The sequence below is a fragment of the Homo sapiens genome, chromosome 17, assembly GCF_000001405.40.
Source record: "Homo sapiens chromosome 17, GRCh38.p14 Primary Assembly".
Taxonomy (NCBI): Eukaryota; Metazoa; Chordata; class Mammalia; order Primates; family Hominidae; genus Homo; species Homo sapiens.
The window spans coordinates 76,733,974-76,751,999 of NC_000017.11; the positions used below are offsets into that span (position 1 = coordinate 76,733,974).

Here is an 18,026-nt window from a genome sequence, read left to right on the forward strand (position 1 = left end):
TTAGGTGTTCAACTGGCATTTCCACTTTAACTTAGGAAATGATAGGCACTAAACATTCCACTTCCATACTATGCAGTCAGCCACAATCACAAAATTGAATAGGTCCTTCAAATAAATGGGGGAAAAAAAGACCGAGACATATTCTGAGAAAAGCTAACACCAAGAAAATGTTTTAATTAAACTACAGAAACAATGGTTATAATACAGAATATTCATAAGCAAAAAGATACACCATGTTATAAGTACTTACAAAGTTACAACCATTTGCTTCCTTAACATTTTCCATGTTAAGTTCATACATGTAGATATGATCAGATTTACCATTTTTAGGGGGAAGAGGGAAAAAAAGGTGTATTTATCATCAGCTAGATGTGCTCACTGTATGCTCCGTTATTTATATGCAAGGCCCGGGTGACTGGAAGTGCAGTTGTCAGGCATTTTAATAAACTGGACAGCCATTTGTTTCTGCACGACAAGGCATCTTTACACAGGAGCAATCGGGAGAAAACAGGAAACAGCCAAGCACTCTGCACTGCAACACGCCACCTTAACAGCTAACCAGCATTACTCAACTGCTACACAACTGCGCCTAGTGCACAAAAATACATAAGAGAAGAGATTAGAATTGTGTTTGATAAACAATCCTTTCAAAAAATCAAGTCTTTTCACCTGAAAAGTCTTTATACAAATTTGGGTTCAGATTACCATTTAGATCTGAAGGTAAATAACATATACAAATTTACACCAACTTTTGTAGGTTTTTAATTTTAAGGAATGAAGGCAATGCTGAGTCAATCTCTTGACAGCTTTAGGCTGTGTGTAATGGCTGCACACGTTTTCCTTAAAAGTCAGGAGGCCACAAATTAGGTTACCAATCTGTTTAATTTCAAACAAAAAAAGTCAGCACTATATAACAAAATGAAATTTTACCTCAAATATCCAAATCCAATAATGAAATCTGAAGTCGTTCACCTCACTAAATTACAAGAAATTTGAATAACAGCAACAAAATGGCACATAAAATGAAGTTTGCCAACTGAGGCAAAGCTTAAACAAGTAAAAAGTTAGACAAATGTTACAAAATAACCTTTTCAATAGCCAGTTGCTTGTTCCAAGGACTCTTCTTCGATGGACTATGTGGTCCTTTTTCCCCAAGTCCTCCGTTTACACTGCTTGCCGATACATCTAGGTTTGAAAAGAAAGAAGTTCAGCTTACCTTCCATTAAAGTGCACATGGTTTCAGTTTCAGGCACGTACTTACTAAGGCTCTGGTCAAACCAGTAGGGTACAGAAATGTTCCACCCAGCCATGTTTTTAAAAGGCCCAATTAGGAAAATTTCACAAAGGCTACCATCAGCATGTACAAGTTTGAATTTACGTATTCCTGGCCAAATAACCAAGGTGAAGAAAGGTAAGGGGAAGAAAAAAAAAGAAAAAAAAAAGGGCTGTATCCAAACAAAAACAACTCGAGATCAGAGAATTGGTCTATATTTCATTAAGATAAATTGTTTCAAATGAAACATTTGGTAATTGAGAATACTACTTTAATATCTGAGCTACTTAGGGCCCTTTCCTTTTTAAAAAATAGGACCAAACAATTTAAGAGTTAAAGACACACTATCCTTTCCCCACCCAGTGCAATACCTGTAACTTTCTTTTGGGGTTCCAAATGTTCACTGCTTCTTATTGCAATTCTTTTGCCACATCCATTAGAATATGAAGTCCCAGTCAGTACAACAATAGTTGAACTGATTGTTTCTCTAAGAGGATAGTGCATCTTTAACATTTAAAGACAAACCTGCTCCAATACACGCCCACAGAAACTGGTCCCTGGAGGATCAGCCAAATCAGTTAAAATCTGCAATACTGGCCAATATTCTTTTATCAAACAGGAGACCGCAGCTTTAAAGGGGGAAAATGCAGACGTTGGATAAAAACAGCAAGAAATAGTCATTTTCATTAATAGGTCTCAAACAGTTTACGAAACAGCCATTATTATCTAAGCTTCATACACATCCTTTCTGCAGACCCCTCTCTTCAGTATTACTCCCAAAGGTGAGTAACCTCCGAGCAGCACTCCTAATGATAGGAGTCATTCTTACATTAACACGACTCAAAAAGACCTACCCCAAATCCCATTTATGAATTAGGGTTATGTGTCTCGGATTCCCAGACATTACCATTTTCTTAAGAGGACACCGCTCCTTCCTCTTCAGGAGACTTGGGGGGACTCTTCGATCGCGACCTGGATTTGGATTCCCTCTTGGACACTGGGGGAGGACTCCTGGACCGAGACCGGGACCTGGACCGCGAACGAGATCTGGAGACCGACGAGGACTTGGACTTGGACCTTCGTGCGGATCTGGACTTGGAGGTCGACCGAGATCGAGAACGAGTGCGGGACCGAGACTTCGAGCGGCTGTAGCGAGATCGGCTGCGAGACCTGGAACGACTCCGACTCCGGGATCGGCTGCGGCGACGCCGCCTAGGGCTGCGGGCGGGACGAGCAAGCACAGCGGGGTTAATTCCAGGCAGCGGGGCCGGCCCCGCCCGCGCGCTCCCGCCCAGGCCGCCATTATCTCGCCGCCAGACGCCATTTCCCCAGTCGCGAGGCGGGGTCCTCCGCCCCGCGCCGCCCACACCCCGGCCACTCCCGGGTCGCAGACGGCGGAAGCTCGCGGGGTGGCCGGAGGGTCGCGAGACGCGGCGTGCACCCCCGCCCCGTCCGGGCCCGCACCACGTGCTTCGCCGCGGACCTTTGTGAGGTCGCCCGGGCCTCCCGCGCGCCCCGCCCCGCCTCCCGCGGTCCCCTCAGCCCCGTTTACCTGCGGCTCCGGCGTCCGTAGCCACCGCCCCCGTACCTGCGGGGTGGCGGTCCCCGGCGGCTGTGGTGTGAGTCCGGGGGGCGGCCGTAGCGCGCCATTTGCACCCGCAGCTCGCGGCCGTCCAGCACGGCCCCGTCCATGGCATCCATAGCGTCCTCAGCGTCGCGCTTGTCGTGAAAGCGAACGAAGGCGAAGCCGCGGGACTCCTTGGTGTAGCGGTCCCGCGGGATGTACACGTCGCCGACGCGCCCGTACTTCTCGAAGACGCGCCTCAGCGTGTCGGGCGAGGTGCGGTAGGTCAGGTTGTCCACCTTGAGGGAGGTCATACCCTCCACATCGGGAGGGGGGCGGCCGTAGCTCATAGCTCTGAGTGGCGGCCCGGAGCCCCGCGAACTGGCGCCGGCTTCCTCAGCTCTGGGCGGTGCGACGCCGCGCCTCTCAGGCAGTTGCCTTCCGCGTGGGGACACTGGGAAAGGCCTTGCCGCAGAACAGCACGGACGGGCTCCGCAGGCTAGCGCACCTGAGTAACAACTGGGCGGGCAGCCGGCCTCTGCGCCCGTTTATATCGCTCCTCACAAAATGGCGCCCGCGCCACCCGGAAATGAAACCTTCTGATTGGCCCACCGCGCCCCGCTTCGTAACGACCCTGCCGCGCGCCCCGCCCCTACCCGAAGCGCCTGCGCACAGCCCGGCGGGCGGGCCAAAAAGCGCGGAGTCACGGCTGGAGGGAGGGGGAGCGGAATTAGCGGGCAGTTGGAAAGCCCGCGAAACGCTTTTTCCGCCTGGGAGGCCGGACGATCGCGATTGGGCAGGAGGAAGAGGAGGTGCTCCCCATCTGGGCCCCCACCTTTTTTTCATGCCAATACTCCAAGTTCACGCCCCTTTTTTGCTCAGCCGTCAGCCCCGTCTCCGTCTGAAGAGTGCTTCTGCCCTCATTTGCCTCTCCCTGTGACCCCGGCCCCCTCAGACTCCGCTGCGTCGTCTCTCGGCCCCGTCCAGCCGTTCCTGACTGCTCTTCGCCGGAGTCCGCTTCCCAACCCCCTTTCGCCAGAGCCCGAGAGCTCCGTCGGCTCTGCGTCCTGGCGGTGGGGACTCCCCGCGGAGCGCTTGCGCGTGCCAGGCCACCCGGGACTACGTTTCCCAGCGGGCCGAGCGGCCGGCGCCGCGGCTGCGGTCAGGTGACCCGGTCGCCTGGCCGCAGTGAGTCAGGCTGGGAGGGCGGGGCCGCGCCGGCTGCTGCGGCTGGCACTTGGCCCTTTAATCCCCTTCGTGGGCCCCTCAACCTGGAGCGGATAAATTCTTGGCGCTTCTCCGGGGGTTGTGCTCTTCCGTACTCGGATCGCTTCTTAGGAGTATCCTAACTGCCGGTGGGGAGAACTTCGCCCTAAACCTGGGGTTCCGATCCAGGAACTGGAAGTTGACAGCTTGGCTGCCTGGCTCCTGCATCTGCCTTCTCCACTCACCATCTCATTTCTTTCTCCAGGATTGTCAGTGGCTTCGCCCCGAGGAGAGCTGACTGCCCTGGGCTGCTGCCTCCGGCAGAGCTGAGCCAAAATGTCCCCGGAATCTAAAAAGCTTTTCAACATCATTATTTTAGGAGTTGCCTTTATGTTTATGTTCACTGCCTTTCAAACTTGTGGAAATGTGGCGGTGAGTTGGAATCTGTCCTCCCTCCTTTGAAGTGCCCATCATAATGCAGTCCAGAAATGAAAATAAACGTTCATTATATCTAATAGCGCGCTTTAATTGCATCTTTCATTTTTCCCACCCAGACTTCCTCATTTTTTATGATTAGGTTTGATTTCTTGTGTCAGACATTTCTCATGGGGGCGTTAAGCATTATCGTTTAATCTGATTTGATTAGGGGTTTGGATGTTAACCTGGTTATTTTGTTTCTCGTCTGTATTAAGCGCTTCCTTAGTACTTGGATGGTTACAGCTGCTTTTCCTCCCCCCTCCCTGTCATTGGTTTGCCTTCTGCAGTTCTGTTGTCCTTTTTCTTTTCTCATAATGGACTTCAGTATTAAGTACATTATGAACTTTTACTTTATTCTCTTGCTGAGTACTTGGAGTCACACTTCCCAAGGGTGGGAGGGAGACTGCAAAACATTTTCGTTGATTAGTTTTATCTTCCACACAGCAAACTGTCATCAGGAGCTTAAATAGGACAGATTTTCACGGCAGTGGATATACCAGGTATTGTACCGTATGATTGATTTTGCTTTATATTTGACAGTAGTTGCTTAAATCTCATCAGAATCACCAGCAATAGAATATTGTGATTGAATAAGTGGTGATGGCATTTTCTCTTCTCAGTGCCTAGACTGAGAGAACATAATAGAATAAAGCTGATGAGTTTAGGTTTCCTGTGGAATTAGGCACTAGGTTTGAAATCCTGACTCTACAAGGTATTTATTGCATTGTTATCTTAGGTAAGTGTTTCCGTGAGCCTAATTTCCTAGTTCAGACAATGCATGTAAAGCACTTGGCACAGTGCATGGCATTGAATAAGCACTCTAGTATTGTCATGATTAGAATTCCCAGTCCTATAGAAGATGTTGTGATTCTTGAAACATTTGGTCCTTCTGTTTTTGTAATTCATGACGATTAATATACGTATGTCAGGAGCTTTTAGATTTTTGTTAAGGTGATTAGTCCCAATTTTACAGATGGGTAAAATGAAAAGACCTTCACAAGTCACTAGAACCTTGTGATTGGACCTGAGAATGTAATATGTACAGGTATATATACACAAACAGGTTTTTCTTTTTTAAAATTAGATTTGTTAATTGACAAATGAAAATTGCCTGTTATTTATTGTGTACAACATGTTTTGAAATATGTGCCATGGAATGGCTACATTGAGCTGTAGAAACAGTTTCTTAATTTCTCTAGAGTTAGAGATTGGATCGTGGCACTCCCCCGCCCCCCACAAACCCATAACTCATACTTGGTTCTTTTTCCCTATCCTAAGCCTTGTATGTAATATTTGAGAATGAAGGGATGTTACTGTTCATTTTTGTAAGTGATTAGTAGCACAGCTTTTTCTACTTTTTTGTCTTCATGTGTATTCTAAAGAACAAATGCGGCCGGGTGCGGGGGCTCACGCCTGTAATCCCAGCGCTTTGGGAGGCGGAGGTGGGCGGATCACGAGGTCAGGAGATCTAGACCATCGTGGCTAACACGGTGAAACCCCGTCTGTACTAAAAATACAAAAAAAAAAAAAATTAGCCAGGCATGGTGGTGGGCGCCTGTAATCCCAGCTACTCGGGAGGCTGAGGCAAGAGAATGGCGTGAACCCGGGAAGGGGAGCTTGCAGTGAGCAGAGATTGTGCCACTGGACTCCAGCCTGGGCGACAGAGCGAGGCTCCGTCTCAAAAAAAAAAAAAAAAAAAAGAACAAATGCAAAAACACATTTGATATTTGAGAGATTCATAAAAGCCAAAGAATAATTTACTTTGGATTTATGAATAGTATCTAGTAAATGAATTCAGGGCCTTTGAAATGGTTTTAACCACACTTCGTACAAGACATATGTACTAGGGCTGGGTCAATAGTAACTGAGTAATAATGTTCAAGTGAGACCATTAGGTTGAGTTAAATAAATTCTGGCTTAAGCAAGTTGTAGCTCTGCGCTTGTTATTTATAGCAGAGAAATGTCATGACGCTGCCAGAGTTGTAGGCTAAGTTTGTAGGGCAGATTGGTGGACTGGGGCCTCTGGAGTCATGCAGTCCTGGCTCGACATTCACCAGCCACCCAGCTGGACTTTTGGCAAATTACTTAATCCCACTGTATTTCCTTTTTCTTTTCTTTCACATGAGGATAATAACAATATCTTTCTCCTAGTGCTGTTAGGATTAGAAGAGAAAATCTGTATAAGGTACTTGGCACAGTTCCTGTTACTATGACTTACCAGTATGTAAAAAATGTATTGTAGGCAGACTGATCCCAAGGCACAGTTGGTGGGCTTCAATATTTTGTACAAATGAAAACTTTTATATGGTATTGAATTGAATGATATAACTATCATAAATTCTGACTAAATAATATGAGTGTTTATTGTAAAATCTATAAACAAATGGATTTTAAACAGTGACACAGCATATAAGGGCTTTGTTCTTTTTTTTTTTTTTTTCCGTTTGTGTATTATGTGTGCAGCATGGCTATTATCTATGGAGTGTTCTCTGCTTCAAATTTGATTACACCGTCAGTGGTTGCCATTGTAGGACCTCAACTCTCTATGTTTGCCAGTGGTTTATTTTACAGGTAAGTAGTGTAATCTTGCACTTATTTAATCAGAACACTTGTCAGGATCTTTCAAGTAGATAGTAAACTTCACAATAATTTATAGACTTGGACTGAATAGAATATAGGTGGTATTTTACGAATTTTGGCTCAGTACTTGTTGCTCAGGGATATCATATTCTAATGTGATAGGATGTATCTATATCTGCTTTTGTTTTATTGTTAATAAAAATAGTATCCAAAAGTCTCTATGAGGGTTGAAAAGAACATTCTATGAAATAATCTTATTTTCTGTCAATTGACTGAAAATATGTGGGGATTCAAATGAAATAACTAAATCTTTCTCTGAACTCTAGAACTATAGTTCCATGATGTGCTAAGCTTTTGGCAAAGAACACTGCAAACCTGTAAAATGTCTGATTTTGCAAATCTGAAATAATAAATTATGGGCCAGGCACAGTGGCTCACACCTGTAAATCCCAACACTTTGGGAGGCCGAGGTATTGCTTGAGCCAAGGATCACTTGGGTCCAGGAGTTCGAGACCAGCCTGGGCAACATGGTGAAACCCTTGTCTCTACCAAAAATAAAAAAAAATTAGCCGGGCTTGGTGGCACATGCCTGTAGTCCCAGCTACTTAGGAGGCTGAGGTGGGAGGATGGCTTGAGCCCAGGAGGTGGAGGTTGCAGTGAGCTGTGATGGTACCACTGCACTCCAGCCTAGGCAATGGAGTGAGACCCTGTCTCAAAAAAATTAATTAATTAAGAAATGAGAAAGTTGATTGTGTCCCTTTTTTCAAAACTGGAGCGATCCTTTACAGGTTGAGTTTTAAAAGAAGAGAATGTCAGAACTGATTCCTAGAAGGCATAATTGGCATTCTATTTCAGGTATCGTTTGACTGTAATACCTTGACCTGTTATATTTTAGCATGTACATTGCCGTTTTCATCCAGCCTTTCCCGTGGTCCTTCTACACAGCCTCTGTTTTCATTGGAATTGCTGCTGCTGGTAAGCATTTTGATTTTTAACTTCTCTGCTTTCTTTTCTGGGGCCTATCTAAGGGTATTATTTATGTGTTTAGTATGTGACTCTAAGTGAATTTCTTTCCCTTGATAAACTTTTGGGTTGAATTTTAGTGCTTTGGACAGCACAAGGAAACTGCCTGACAATCAATTCGGATGAGCACAGCATTGGGAGAAACAGTGGGATTTTCTGGGCACTTCTGCAGTCTAGGTAATTATCCTTTTGAGGTTCAGTCTTTCCTTTTCTTTCTTTTTTTTCTGTCATACCATTTTTTAGGTCTTTGGTTGACAATTTGGATCTTCCATGTTACGTGACTTAAGTTCTAGCTAAATGTGACGTGATTCCAATTTTATAGAATCACTTGTAATAATGGCTGAGTATGGTGGCTCACTAGCTACTCAGGACTATTTATACCAATACTGAATATAGCATACTAACTTTTTTTTTTTTTTTAAATGAGACGGTGTCTCACACTGTCACCTGGGCTGGAGTGCAATGGCACGATCTCGGCTTACTGCAAGCTCTGCCTCCTGGATTCAAGCAATTCTCCTGCCTTAGCCTCCTGAGTAGCTGGGATTACAGGCGCCCACCACCACGCCCGGCTAATTTTTTTTGTATTTTTAGTAGAGACGGAGTTTCACTATGTTGGCCAGGCTGGTCTCGAACTCCTGACCTTGTGATCCGCCCGCCTTGGGCTCCCAGAGTGTTGGGATTACAGGCGTGAACCACCGTGCCTGGCCTTAACATTTTTCTTAAGAAGAAAGCAAAACAGCTATTCTGCTCTTGACTGTTGGATTTCTGGAATCTCTTCTGAGGAATCACCCTCATGAATCGCGCCTAAAATTTTGGCCTTGACAAGGCTTAACAAATGCAAATGTTACATTTTAAAGAGTTGTATATTAAGAAACTAGTGTGTAAGTGAATGATTTTTCAGGAAAGTATGCTAAAGAAAGTATTTGATTAGATGCAGATAACTAAATCATGGATTTTTAGAAACAGATTCTTTAAAATTTAGCTTAAGCTTATTTCCAGGGAGTCATTTCCAGAGTTGCAATAAATCACATGTTTCAAAGTGAGTCAATTCTTCTTTGAAGGGTGCCTCTGAATCAGGTTACTGTCACATGGAAGGAGACTGAATTCCATCTGGGGCAGTTAAGTTTATCAGAGTCCAGATGAAGCTGATACTTTTAAATGACCCAGGACAGGTAGATACTTTAAAAATGATGTCCTTCTCTCTCCCTCTCTTACAACAAATAATGGGAATAATTATTTTTAAAAAACTATAAATATTAAAATAATTACCCAACATCCTATCCTCCCTTTTCTTCCCCCAGCTTGTTCTTTGGAAATCTCTACATATATTTTGCCTGGCAAGGGAAAACTCAGATATCAGGTTTGTTTTATTCGCGTTGCTTTATTCAGATATGTTCAAAGCATAATAGGAGTTATATAGAAATACCCATTATTGCTTTATTCAAGCATCGTTCTCATGAACCCCGACACCTCAAGTTCTCGCAGATTTTAGCTTTTAGTAAGACTTTTCCTTGGTTTATATTATTATTATTATTTTGAGATGGAGTTTCACTCTTGTTACCCAGGCTGGAATGCAATGGTGCCATCTTGGCTCACCGCAACCTCCGCCTCCCGGGTTCAAACAGTTCTCCTGCTTCAGCCTCCCAAGTAGCTGGGATTACAGGCCTGCACCACCACGCCCAGCTAATTTTGTATTTTTAGTAGAGATGGGTTTCTCCATGTTGTTCAGGCTGGTCTCAAACTCCTGACCTCAGGTGATCCGCCCTCCTCAGCCTCCCAAATTGGTGGTATTACAGGCCTGAGCCATCCCTCCCAGCCTGGTTTCTATTACTAAACTAGGATTATAGTTTATGACTATGCTTTAAGGGGCTTCTCAGGGTCTAAGGGAAGGTTATGCTGTGCACGAGCTTACGAGAATACTGCGCACGAGTATGTGGTTCTCAGAAGACTTCTGAATGCTCAGTTGTTTTCTCTGGACCCTTCTTTGATTAAAAGAAGGCGATTAAGCCCTTGTGCTGTTTTTCTTTGGCTTATTCATATTTCTCTAACTGAAAGACAAAGGTGAAGGTATCCTATTTGTCTCCTTTTCCTAGGTTTTTACTGATGCATTAAAGTAAAAATGTAACGAGGAAGTGTGTTGACAGTTGTAAGCAGCCCTTGTACCGTGATACTAATTCTGGAATTGTTTGGTCGATACTATCTTGTTTCTTCTTTTTTCTCCGTAGAGAGTGACCGAAGAACAGTGTTTATTGCCCTAACGGTGATTAGCCTTGTGGGGACAGTTCTATTCTTTCTCATTCGGAAACCAGATTCTGAAAATGTCCTAGGAGAAGATGAGTCTTCTGATGACCAGGACATGGAAGTCAACGAGTAAGATGTTGGAAACATTCTATTTTATTTTAAAATAGATTTTGAGTAGATCTAGTCTAGAGATTACCAACCCGTTTAGCCCTAACTGATGTCCAGTACTCTCTGTAGGTTACCACAGGCAAGAAAAGGAAGAAAATAAAGGAGGAGCTGCGAGGGAGGAAGAAAAAAAAGGTCACCAGAGGAAGGGAGGTGGTGAAAAGGTGCACAGGGAAGTTGAGTCTGTTCCTGGCCTTGCCACTGATGTGTGTGACCCTGGACAGTGGCAGCAATTCCTTTCATGTCTCCAGGCCTCAGCTTTCTCACTCAATCCATATGTTTCCATGGGCAAGGAAATAGAAGGCAGTGTTGACCTTGGTTACTGTTTCTGTGATCCAGCTCTAAAGCTTTCCTGTTCTTGTGGTGTGAGTGAGTGGCAGGGCCAGTGATGGTTGTCACAGATGAACCTTGGTTATCACTAGGCTCTTGCTTATGGTGTCCGGCTCTTGCACTAACTTACATAGGCGGTTTTCCCCAGAGTGGTCCAAATAGGGGAATGAGTATACAACCCTGTGTTTTGTAAAAATTGTAAATTACCTAAGCACATTTCAGTTTCAGGTGACACTATTTAAGCATGACAGGCTAGTGATCTGCAGTATCATTTAGATTTGAGGAAGGAGAGATGAGAAATTAATCTCTGCCACCCTTGTTTTGCTTTGTTTGTGATACATTGTGAAGATTGCCTTATAGCATTTTATATATTGTTAAAACTTTCGCATTGAGCATCCCATGCTGACTTTGTAATCCAGAAAGGGCCTAAAATTGTCCAGTCATAGGAGCATTAGATGCTCCAGATTTGCAGTAAGTTTGTGTAAAGCAGAAGCAAGGCAGCGCTTTGGTCTGGATATGCTGCCATGCCCTGCTTTCTTGCTCTTTATTGTGCTTCACAGACACTGGGTTTTTTACAAATTGAAGGCTTGTGGCAACCCTGCATCGAGTAAGTCTTTCTCTCCATACCACTTTTCCAACAGCGTGTGGTCACTTTGTGTCTCTCTGTCACATTTTGGTAATTCTCACAATACTTCAAACATTTCATTCTTATGACATCTGTTATAAGATGTGATCGGTAATCTTTGATGTTACTATTGCAATTGTTTTGGGGCACCACAAACCAGATCCATATAAGGTGGTGAACTTAATTGATAAATGTTGTGTGTGTTCTGACTGTTCCACTGCAGGCCATCCCCCATCTCCCTCCCTCTTCTCCTGAGACACAGCAATATTGAAATTAGGCCAGTTAATGACCCTACAATAGCCTCTATGTGTTAAAGTGAAAGGAAGACATGCATGTCTCTCACTTTATTATTTACTTATTTATTTATTTATTTATTTATTTATTTTTTGAGACGGAGTCTCGCTCTGTCACCCAAGCTGGAGTGCAGTGGCATGATCTCGGCTCACTGCAGCCTCTGCCTCAGCCTCCCAAGTAGCTGGGATTACAGGCATGCACCACCACACCCGGCTAATGACTAATCAAGAAATGACTAAGCTTAGCAAGGAAGACATGTAGAAAGCTGAGACAGGCTGAAAGCTATGCCTCTTGTGCCAAACAGCCAAGTTGTGAATGCAAAGGAAAAGTTTTTGAAGGGACTCAAAAGAGCTACTCCAGGGAACACACGAATGATAAGAAAGTGAAACAGCCTTATTGCTGATACGGAGAAAGTTTTAGTGGTCTGGATAGAAGATCAACCCAGCCACAACATTCTCTGAAGCCTAATCCAGAGCAAGTCCCTCTCTTCAATTCTGTGAAGGCTGAGAGACGTGAGGAATCTTTAGAAGAAAAATTTGAAGCTAGCAGAGGTTGGTTCGTGAGGATCAAGGAAAGAAACCATCTCCATGACATAAAAGTGCAAGGTGAAACAGCAAGTGCTGCTGGAGAAGCTGCAGCAAGTTATCCAGAAGATCTGGCCATTATAATTGACAAACGTAGCTGCACTAAACAACAGGTTTTCAATGTAGACCAAACAGTCTTACATTAAAAGATGCCATCTAGGAATTTTATAGCTAGAGAGAAGTTAATGCCGGGCTTTAAACCTTCAAAGAACAGGCCGACTCTTGTTAGGGGATAATGCAGCTAATGACTTGAAGTTGAAGCCAGTGCTCATTTACCATTCCAGAAACCCTATGACCCTTAAGAATCATGCTTAATCTACTCTGCCTGGGCTCTAGAAATGCAGTGACAAAGCCTGGATGGTAGCACATTTGTTTACGGCATGGCTTATTGACTATTTTAAGCCCACTGTTGAGACCTACTGCTCAGAAGAAAAGGTTCCTCTCAAAATATTACTGCTTATTGACAATGTACCTGATCAGCCAAGTGCTTTGTTGGAGGTGTACAAGGAGATGAATGTTGTTTTCATGCCTTCTAACAACATGTGTTCTGCAGCCCCTGGATCAAGGAGTAATTTCCATTTTTTTTTTTTTGAGACAAAGTCTTGCTCTGTCACCCAGGCTGGAGTGCAGTGGCGGGATCTCGGCTCACTGCAACCTCTGCCTCCCGGGTTCAAGAGATTCCTCCTGCCTCAGCCTCCTCAGTAACTGGCATTACAGGCGTGCACCACCATGCCTGGCTAATTTCAACTTTCAAGTCTTATTATTTAAGAAATACATTTCATGAGGATATAGCTGCCATAGATAATGATTCTTCAGATCTAAGCAAAGTAAATTGTAAACCTTTTGAGAAGGAGTCATCATTCTAGGTAGGTCACATTAAGAACATCTGTGCCTGGGGCTGGGTACAGTGGCTCACGCCTGTAATCCCAGCACTTTGGGAGGCTGAGGCAGGTGGATTGTTTGGGCTTAGGAGTTTGAGACCAGACGGGGCAACATGGTGAAACTTTTTTTTTTTTTGAGATGGAGTCTCACTTTTTCACCCAGGCTGGAGTGCAATGGCGTAGTCTTGGCTCACTGCAACCTCTGCTTCCCAGGTTCAAGTGATTCTTCCGCCTCAGCCTCCCGAGTAGCTGGGACTACAGGCACATGCCACCATACCCAGCTAATTTTTGTATTTTTAGTAGAGACGGGGCTTCACTATGTTGGGCAGGCTGGTCTCGAACTCCTGACCTCGTGATCCACCCGCCTTGGCCTCCCAAAGTGCTGGGATTACAGGCGTGAGCCACCGCGCCTGGCAAAACATTTTGTTTTAAAGCACAAACCAGTAGTTACTGGAGAAGGAGTCTGTGAAAGTGAATACCACAAATTCAATGAAAACTGACCCCCCCATTCAGCCAGCACATGTTTGGTGTTGGTCCTAGAGGACAAATGCCGCCCATCCCTGTTTTTAAGGAACTGCCAAGTTGGGGAGGTGGATGAGGGGTTCTGTAACTGTGAGCTGGCGTTCTTCTAGAAATACTGCTCAGCCTTTGTAGCATTCTCTCTTCCTGAATCGTCTCCTAAATTTGGAGCTTCTGTGTCTTTGTTCTACAAATAGCACAGACTTGTGGCAGCCCTCTTCTATGCCTGAGGGATATAGGCGTGAACAAGACAGATAAGTCCTTGTTCTTACGGGACTTAATTTTAGAGGGGGTGGTAGACAATGCACGTGTAAGAAAATAGCAAAGTGAGTGTTAGGAAGACTGTGAAAGAGGGGGAGAGTGGGGGGGAGGGGGGAGAGTGGGGTGGCTCCCTGAGACGTGGCTGGTGAGACATGAAGGTCAGCGGGTGGCCTTTGCCAAAGCCAGGCAGTGGGAAGGGCGTGGTGGGCTCTGGTCTCCAAGAAGGAAGAAGTGGAAGCAGTAGACAGGGTCAGATTATGTAAGCCAAGATAGGAGGTTTGTGTTTTCTTCTTAGTGTGATTAGAAGCTGTTGAGGGTATAAGTAGAATTCTGTTTTAAAGGTTCCCACCTAAAGGCCTCACAGAAAAAGATTTGAAGAGGTCCAAAGAGACAGCTCTGTCTGTCTTCTGGCTGGGCACAGTGGCTCCTGCCTGTAATCCCAGCACCTTGGGAGGCTGAGGCAAGAAGATCGCTTGAGCCCTGTTTGAAATCAGCCTGGGCAACATAGCAAGACCTAGTCTCTACTTAAAAAAAAAAAAAATGAGCCAGGTGTGGTGGTGCACGCCTGTAGTCCCAGCTACTTGAGAGGCCGAGGTAGGGGGAAGCTTCAGCAAAGGGATTCAAGGTTGCAGTGAGCTGTGGTCACGCCGCTGCACTCCAGCATGGGCAACAGAGCAAGACCCTGTCTTAAAAAAAAAAAATCTGTCCTCTATCTCAAGTGCGTAATTTGCATCTCTGAGGACTTATTAGCTGGGTGATCTCTGGGTGTTTCTTCATTGGCAGTTACTTCTATCCTCCTTCTCCCCTCCTCCCTGTATTCTTTCCTTCCTCTCTTCTTTCCTCCCTCTATCCTTTCACTTCTTACCTTCCTGCATTCATCCTTTCTTTCCCTTCCCTCTCTCCCACCCTCCCTTCCTCTCTCCCTTCTTTTCTTCCTTCCCCTATATTTGAGGTTCTCTGATATTCCAAGCATTGTGCTAAATAAAACAGAAGTTTGTGCATTCATGGAGCTTACTTTCTAGTTGGTGACAGAGAGAAAAGAAACAGGCAGGTTTTAAAAATAGCTTTATTGAGATATAACTCATATACTATATAATTCACCCATCTAAAGTATACACTTCAGTGCTTTTGAGTATATTCACAGAGTTGTGCGTCCATCATTGAAACCAATTTTAGAATATTTTATGAATACTTTTATTACCCCAAAAAGGAGCCACAGGATGAATGTGATGGCCCATGCTTGGCCTGTGGTTCCTTTTCCAGGTAATAAAAATCATAGCACTTTGGGAGGCCGAGACAGGCGGATTGCTTGAACCCAGGAATTTGAGATTAGCCTGAGCAACATGGCGAAACACCATCTCTACCAAAAAAAAAATACAAAAATTAATCAGGCATGGTGGCGCATGTCTGTGCTCCCAGCTACTTGAGAGACTGAGGTGGGAGAATCGCTTACGCCCAGGACGCGGAGGTTGCAGTGAGCCAAGATAATCACACCACCACACTCCAGCCTGGGTGACAGGGAGAGAGCCTGTCTCAAAAAAAAAAAGAAGAAGAAGGAACAATGTATGCTGTAGCCTATCTCCATATGGTTCTTGAAATAAAAAAATAAAGCAGGCTGGGCACGGTGACTTAAACCTGTAATTCCAGCACTTTGGGAGGCCGAGGTGGGCGGATCACGAGGTCAGGAGATCGAGACCATCCTGGCCAACATGGTGAAACTCCGTCTCTACTAAAAATACAAAAATTAGCCTGGTGTGGTGGTGTGTGCCTGTAATCCCAGCTACTCAGGAGGCTGAGGTAGGAGAATCGCTTGAACCAGGGAGTTGGAGGTGGCAGTGAGCCAAGATTGCACCGCAGCACTCCAGCCTGGGCGATAGAGTGAGACTCCTTCTCAAAAAAAAAAAAAAAAAGCAGAGAAGCAATAGAGAAATATGAGGGTGGGAGGTGGAAGGGGAGCTGTTGCAGTTACAGAGTTGGGAAGGCTGAGAAAGTAACATTTAAGTCAGGGCCTGAAAGAGGTGAGCCAGGTGTGGCTTTTACCTGGAGTGGGATGGTAAGCCATTGGAGGGTTCGAGAGAGGACTGACAGTGGTCTAACTTAAATGGTAAATAACTCACTGAATTAAATTGGAAGTGATTTGCAGCTGAATTATTGTATTTTAGTCGTCTGTAGAGTATAAATCAGTTAATTGGGGCCTGAAGGGTAAAATATTGGAATCCTACATGGGATCCTATCCAAGTATAAAATGAGGGTACTACCAAATGATGGCATCTAAATAGTATTTGCTTCCGGGCAAGGCATGAGTTTTATGATGAGGAAAAAAGTTTTCTTGCTGGTTAGAGCACACTATTTTTTTGTGTGTTAGTAATTTTTTTTTTTTTTTTTTTTTTGAGACAGAGTCTCACTCTGTCGCCCAGGCTGGAGTGCAGTGGCGCAAACTCGGCTCCGCCTCCCGGGTGCACGCCATTCTCCTGTCTCAGCCTCCTGAGTAGCTGGGACTACAGGCTCCTGCCACACGCCCGGCTAATTTTTTGTATTTTTAGTAGAGACTGAGTTTCACTGTGTTAGCCAGGATGGTCTCGATCTCCTGACCTCGTGATCCGCCCACCTCAGCCTCCCAAAGTGCTGGGATTACAGGCGTGAGCCACCGCGCCTGGCCGAGCTTTAGAAATTTTTTAACTTAATTGGATCACCATTAGATTCCTTTTATTTCTTAAGTTAACAAGATCTTCTTTACATTACTTTTTTTTGGTAAAAATGCCATTTAGAGATATAGGAGTAGACTTGGCTATTAGGATAGGAAATGTAATCTTTTTTTTTTTTTTGATACGGAGTCTCGCTCTCTCACCCAGGCTGGAGTGCAGTGACACGGTCTAGGCTCACTGAAACCTCCGCCTTCCATGTTCAAGTGATTCTGCTGCCTCGGCCTCCCAAGTAGCTGGGATTACAGGCACCTGCCACACCTGGCTAATTTTTGTATTTTTAGTAGAGGTGGGGTTTCACCATGTTGGCCAGGCTGGTCTCAAACTCCTTACCTCAAGTGATCCACCCGCCTTGGCCTCCCAGAGTGCTGGGATTACAGGATAGAAATGTAATCTTTTAAAAATCTTTTGGCTGGGTGCAGTGGCTCACACCTGTAATCCCAGCACTTTGGGAGGCCGAGGCGGGCGGGTCACGAGGTCAGGAGATCGAGACTATCCTGGCTAACACGGTGAAACCCATCTCTACTAAAAATACAAAAAAATTAGCCAGGCGTAGTGGCAGGCGCCTGTAGTCCCAGCTACTTGGGAGGCTGAGGCAGGAGAATGGCGTGAACCTGGGAGGTGGAGATTGCAGTGAGCTGAGATCGTGCCACTGCACTCCAGTCTGGGTGACAGAGCGAGACATTGTCTTAAGAAAAAAAAAAATCTTTCTAGGATGGGTGTGGTGGTTCACACCTGTAATCCCAACACTTTGGGAGGCTGAAGTCAGAGGATCACTGAGCCCAGAGTTCCAGACCAGCCTGGCAACCTTGTGGAATACTGTCTCTGCAAAAATTTAAAAATCATGCCTGTCTCTACAGGCATGGTGGTGCATGCCTGTAGTCCCAGTTACTCAGGAGGCTGAGGCAGGAGGATCACTTGAGCCCAGGAGGTCAAGGCTACACTGAGCCATGATTGTGCCAGTGCATTCCAGCCTGATGACAGAGCAAGACTCGGTCTCAAAAAAAAAAAAAAGGAAAAAGAAAAATCTTTAAAAATTAAGGAAAAAATATTTTTTAAAAACTTTCTTATAATCTTATTAACAATTATGCTTAACTTGCATTATCTTATTTAATTCCCATGGGTAAGTCGTAGCATCCCTATTTGATGAATGAGGAAATAATACTTGGAGAAATGAAGTCACTTGTCTAAAATCACACAACTAATTAGCAGCAAAGCCAGGCCTCTGACTCCAAAGCCCTTGTTTCAATCAGTAGATCATTGTGCGTCCCAGCCATGTCACAAGGAGGGCATTCATGATT

The 18,026-nt window shown here is 44.9% G+C and overlaps 2 protein-coding genes and 1 non-coding gene across 42 annotated transcripts in view, besides 5 other annotated features; 1 reads left to right on the top strand and 2 right to left on the bottom strand.

Annotated features, from left to right (window-relative positions):
• SRSF2 (serine and arginine rich splicing factor 2) lies at nucleotides 142-3,438 on the bottom strand. 6 transcript variants are annotated; one of them, XR_429914.5, is made up of 5 exons: nucleotides 2,826-3,438; nucleotides 2,181-2,491; nucleotides 1,799-1,902; nucleotides 1,088-1,185; nucleotides 142-589 (listed from the first exon to the last, which is right to left on the bottom strand). XR_429914.5 is itself a non-coding variant. In NM_001195427.2 (3 exons), the coding sequence occupies exons 1-2, from the start codon at nucleotides 3,185-3,187 to the stop codon at nucleotides 2,188-2,190; spliced, it is 666 nt and encodes a 221-aa protein (NP_001182356.1). In that variant the 5' UTR covers nucleotides 3,188-3,358; the 3' UTR covers nucleotides 142-1,185; nucleotides 2,181-2,187. The 6 variants fall into 6 exon arrangements, 2 of the variants coding, with proteins under 2 accessions (NP_001182356.1, NP_003007.2); XR_429913.5 differs by lacking the exon at nucleotides 1,799-1,902; XR_002958055.2 differs by having other exon boundaries at nucleotides 1,799-2,491.
• Nucleotides 2,432-3,057: an enhancer, noted in NCBI's record as "NANOG-H3K27ac-H3K4me1 hESC enhancer chr17:74732487-74733112 (GRCh37/hg19 assembly coordinates)". NCBI's record gives its function as "activates a minimal SCP1, AML or CMV promoter by ChIP-STARR-seq in primed H9 embryonic stem cells {active_cell/tissue: H9 hESC(primed)}" and the evidence as "EXISTENCE:reporter gene assay evidence [ECO:0000049][PMID:30033119]".
• On the bottom strand, nucleotides 2,477-2,575 carry MIR636 (microRNA 636). Its single transcript, NR_030366.1, has one exon. It is a non-coding gene; the product is annotated as a microRNA 636 (primary transcript).
• Nucleotides 2,519-2,798: a silencer, noted in NCBI's record as "silent region_9027". NCBI's record gives its function as "represses an Ori minimal core promoter by ATAC-STARR-seq in GM12878 lymphoblastoid cells {active_cell/tissue: GM12878}" and the evidence as "EXISTENCE:reporter gene assay evidence [ECO:0000049][PMID:35858748]".
• The window catches only part of MFSD11 (major facilitator superfamily domain containing 11), a 67,172-nt gene continuing 51,806 nt past the window's right edge, over nucleotides 2,661-18,026 (top strand). For 7 of the 35 annotated variants that reach the window (NR_148240.2, NR_148237.2, XM_047436736.1 and 4 more), the window contains exons 1-8: nucleotides 4,146-4,192; nucleotides 4,309-4,475; nucleotides 4,965-5,020; nucleotides 6,984-7,091; nucleotides 7,996-8,075; nucleotides 8,204-8,300; nucleotides 9,425-9,483; nucleotides 10,349-10,493. Coding sequence is in view for 21 of the 35 variants with exons in the window: in XM_047436736.1 (XP_047292692.1) it covers nucleotides 4,380-4,475; nucleotides 4,965-5,020; nucleotides 6,984-7,091; nucleotides 7,996-8,075; nucleotides 8,204-8,300; nucleotides 9,425-9,483; nucleotides 10,349-10,493 (641 nt within the window). In the remaining 14 variants the exon portion in view is untranslated. Of the gene's footprint in view, nucleotides 3,119-3,527; nucleotides 3,650-3,704; nucleotides 4,026-4,145; nucleotides 4,476-4,964; nucleotides 5,021-6,983; nucleotides 7,092-7,955; nucleotides 8,076-8,203; nucleotides 8,301-9,424; nucleotides 9,484-10,348; nucleotides 10,494-18,026 lie in introns of those variants that run through there. The other 28 variants (XM_047436733.1, NM_001242534.3, XM_011525239.4 and 25 more) reach the window with 21 other exon arrangements.
• Nucleotides 2,839-2,888: a silencer, noted in NCBI's record as "silent region_9028". NCBI's record gives its function as "represses an Ori minimal core promoter by ATAC-STARR-seq in GM12878 lymphoblastoid cells {active_cell/tissue: GM12878}" and the evidence as "EXISTENCE:reporter gene assay evidence [ECO:0000049][PMID:35858748]".
• Nucleotides 3,059-3,108: an enhancer, noted in NCBI's record as "active region_12814". NCBI's record gives its function as "activates an Ori minimal core promoter by ATAC-STARR-seq in GM12878 lymphoblastoid cells {active_cell/tissue: GM12878}" and the evidence as "EXISTENCE:reporter gene assay evidence [ECO:0000049][PMID:35858748]".
• Nucleotides 6,401-6,598: a silencer, noted in NCBI's record as "fragment chr17:74736456-74736653 (GRCh37/hg19 assembly coordinates)". NCBI's record gives its function as "represses an EF-1alpha promoter that drives an FKBP-Casp9 reporter gene in an ReSE screen in HepG2 liver carcinoma cells {active_cell/tissue: HepG2}" and the evidence as "EXISTENCE:reporter gene assay evidence [ECO:0000049][PMID:32094911]".

Bases quoted from the DNA above. Each gene is read 5' to 3' on its own strand.
- SRSF2 (NM_001195427.2), bottom strand. From the start codon at position 3,187: ATGAGCTACGGCCGCCCCCCTCCCGATGTGGAGGGTATGACCTCCCTC. The intron at 2,492-2,825 runs GTAAACGGGGCT...TCCCGCCCGCAG, and splicing joins TACGGACGCCGGAGCCGCAG to CCCTAGGCGGCGTCGCCGCA.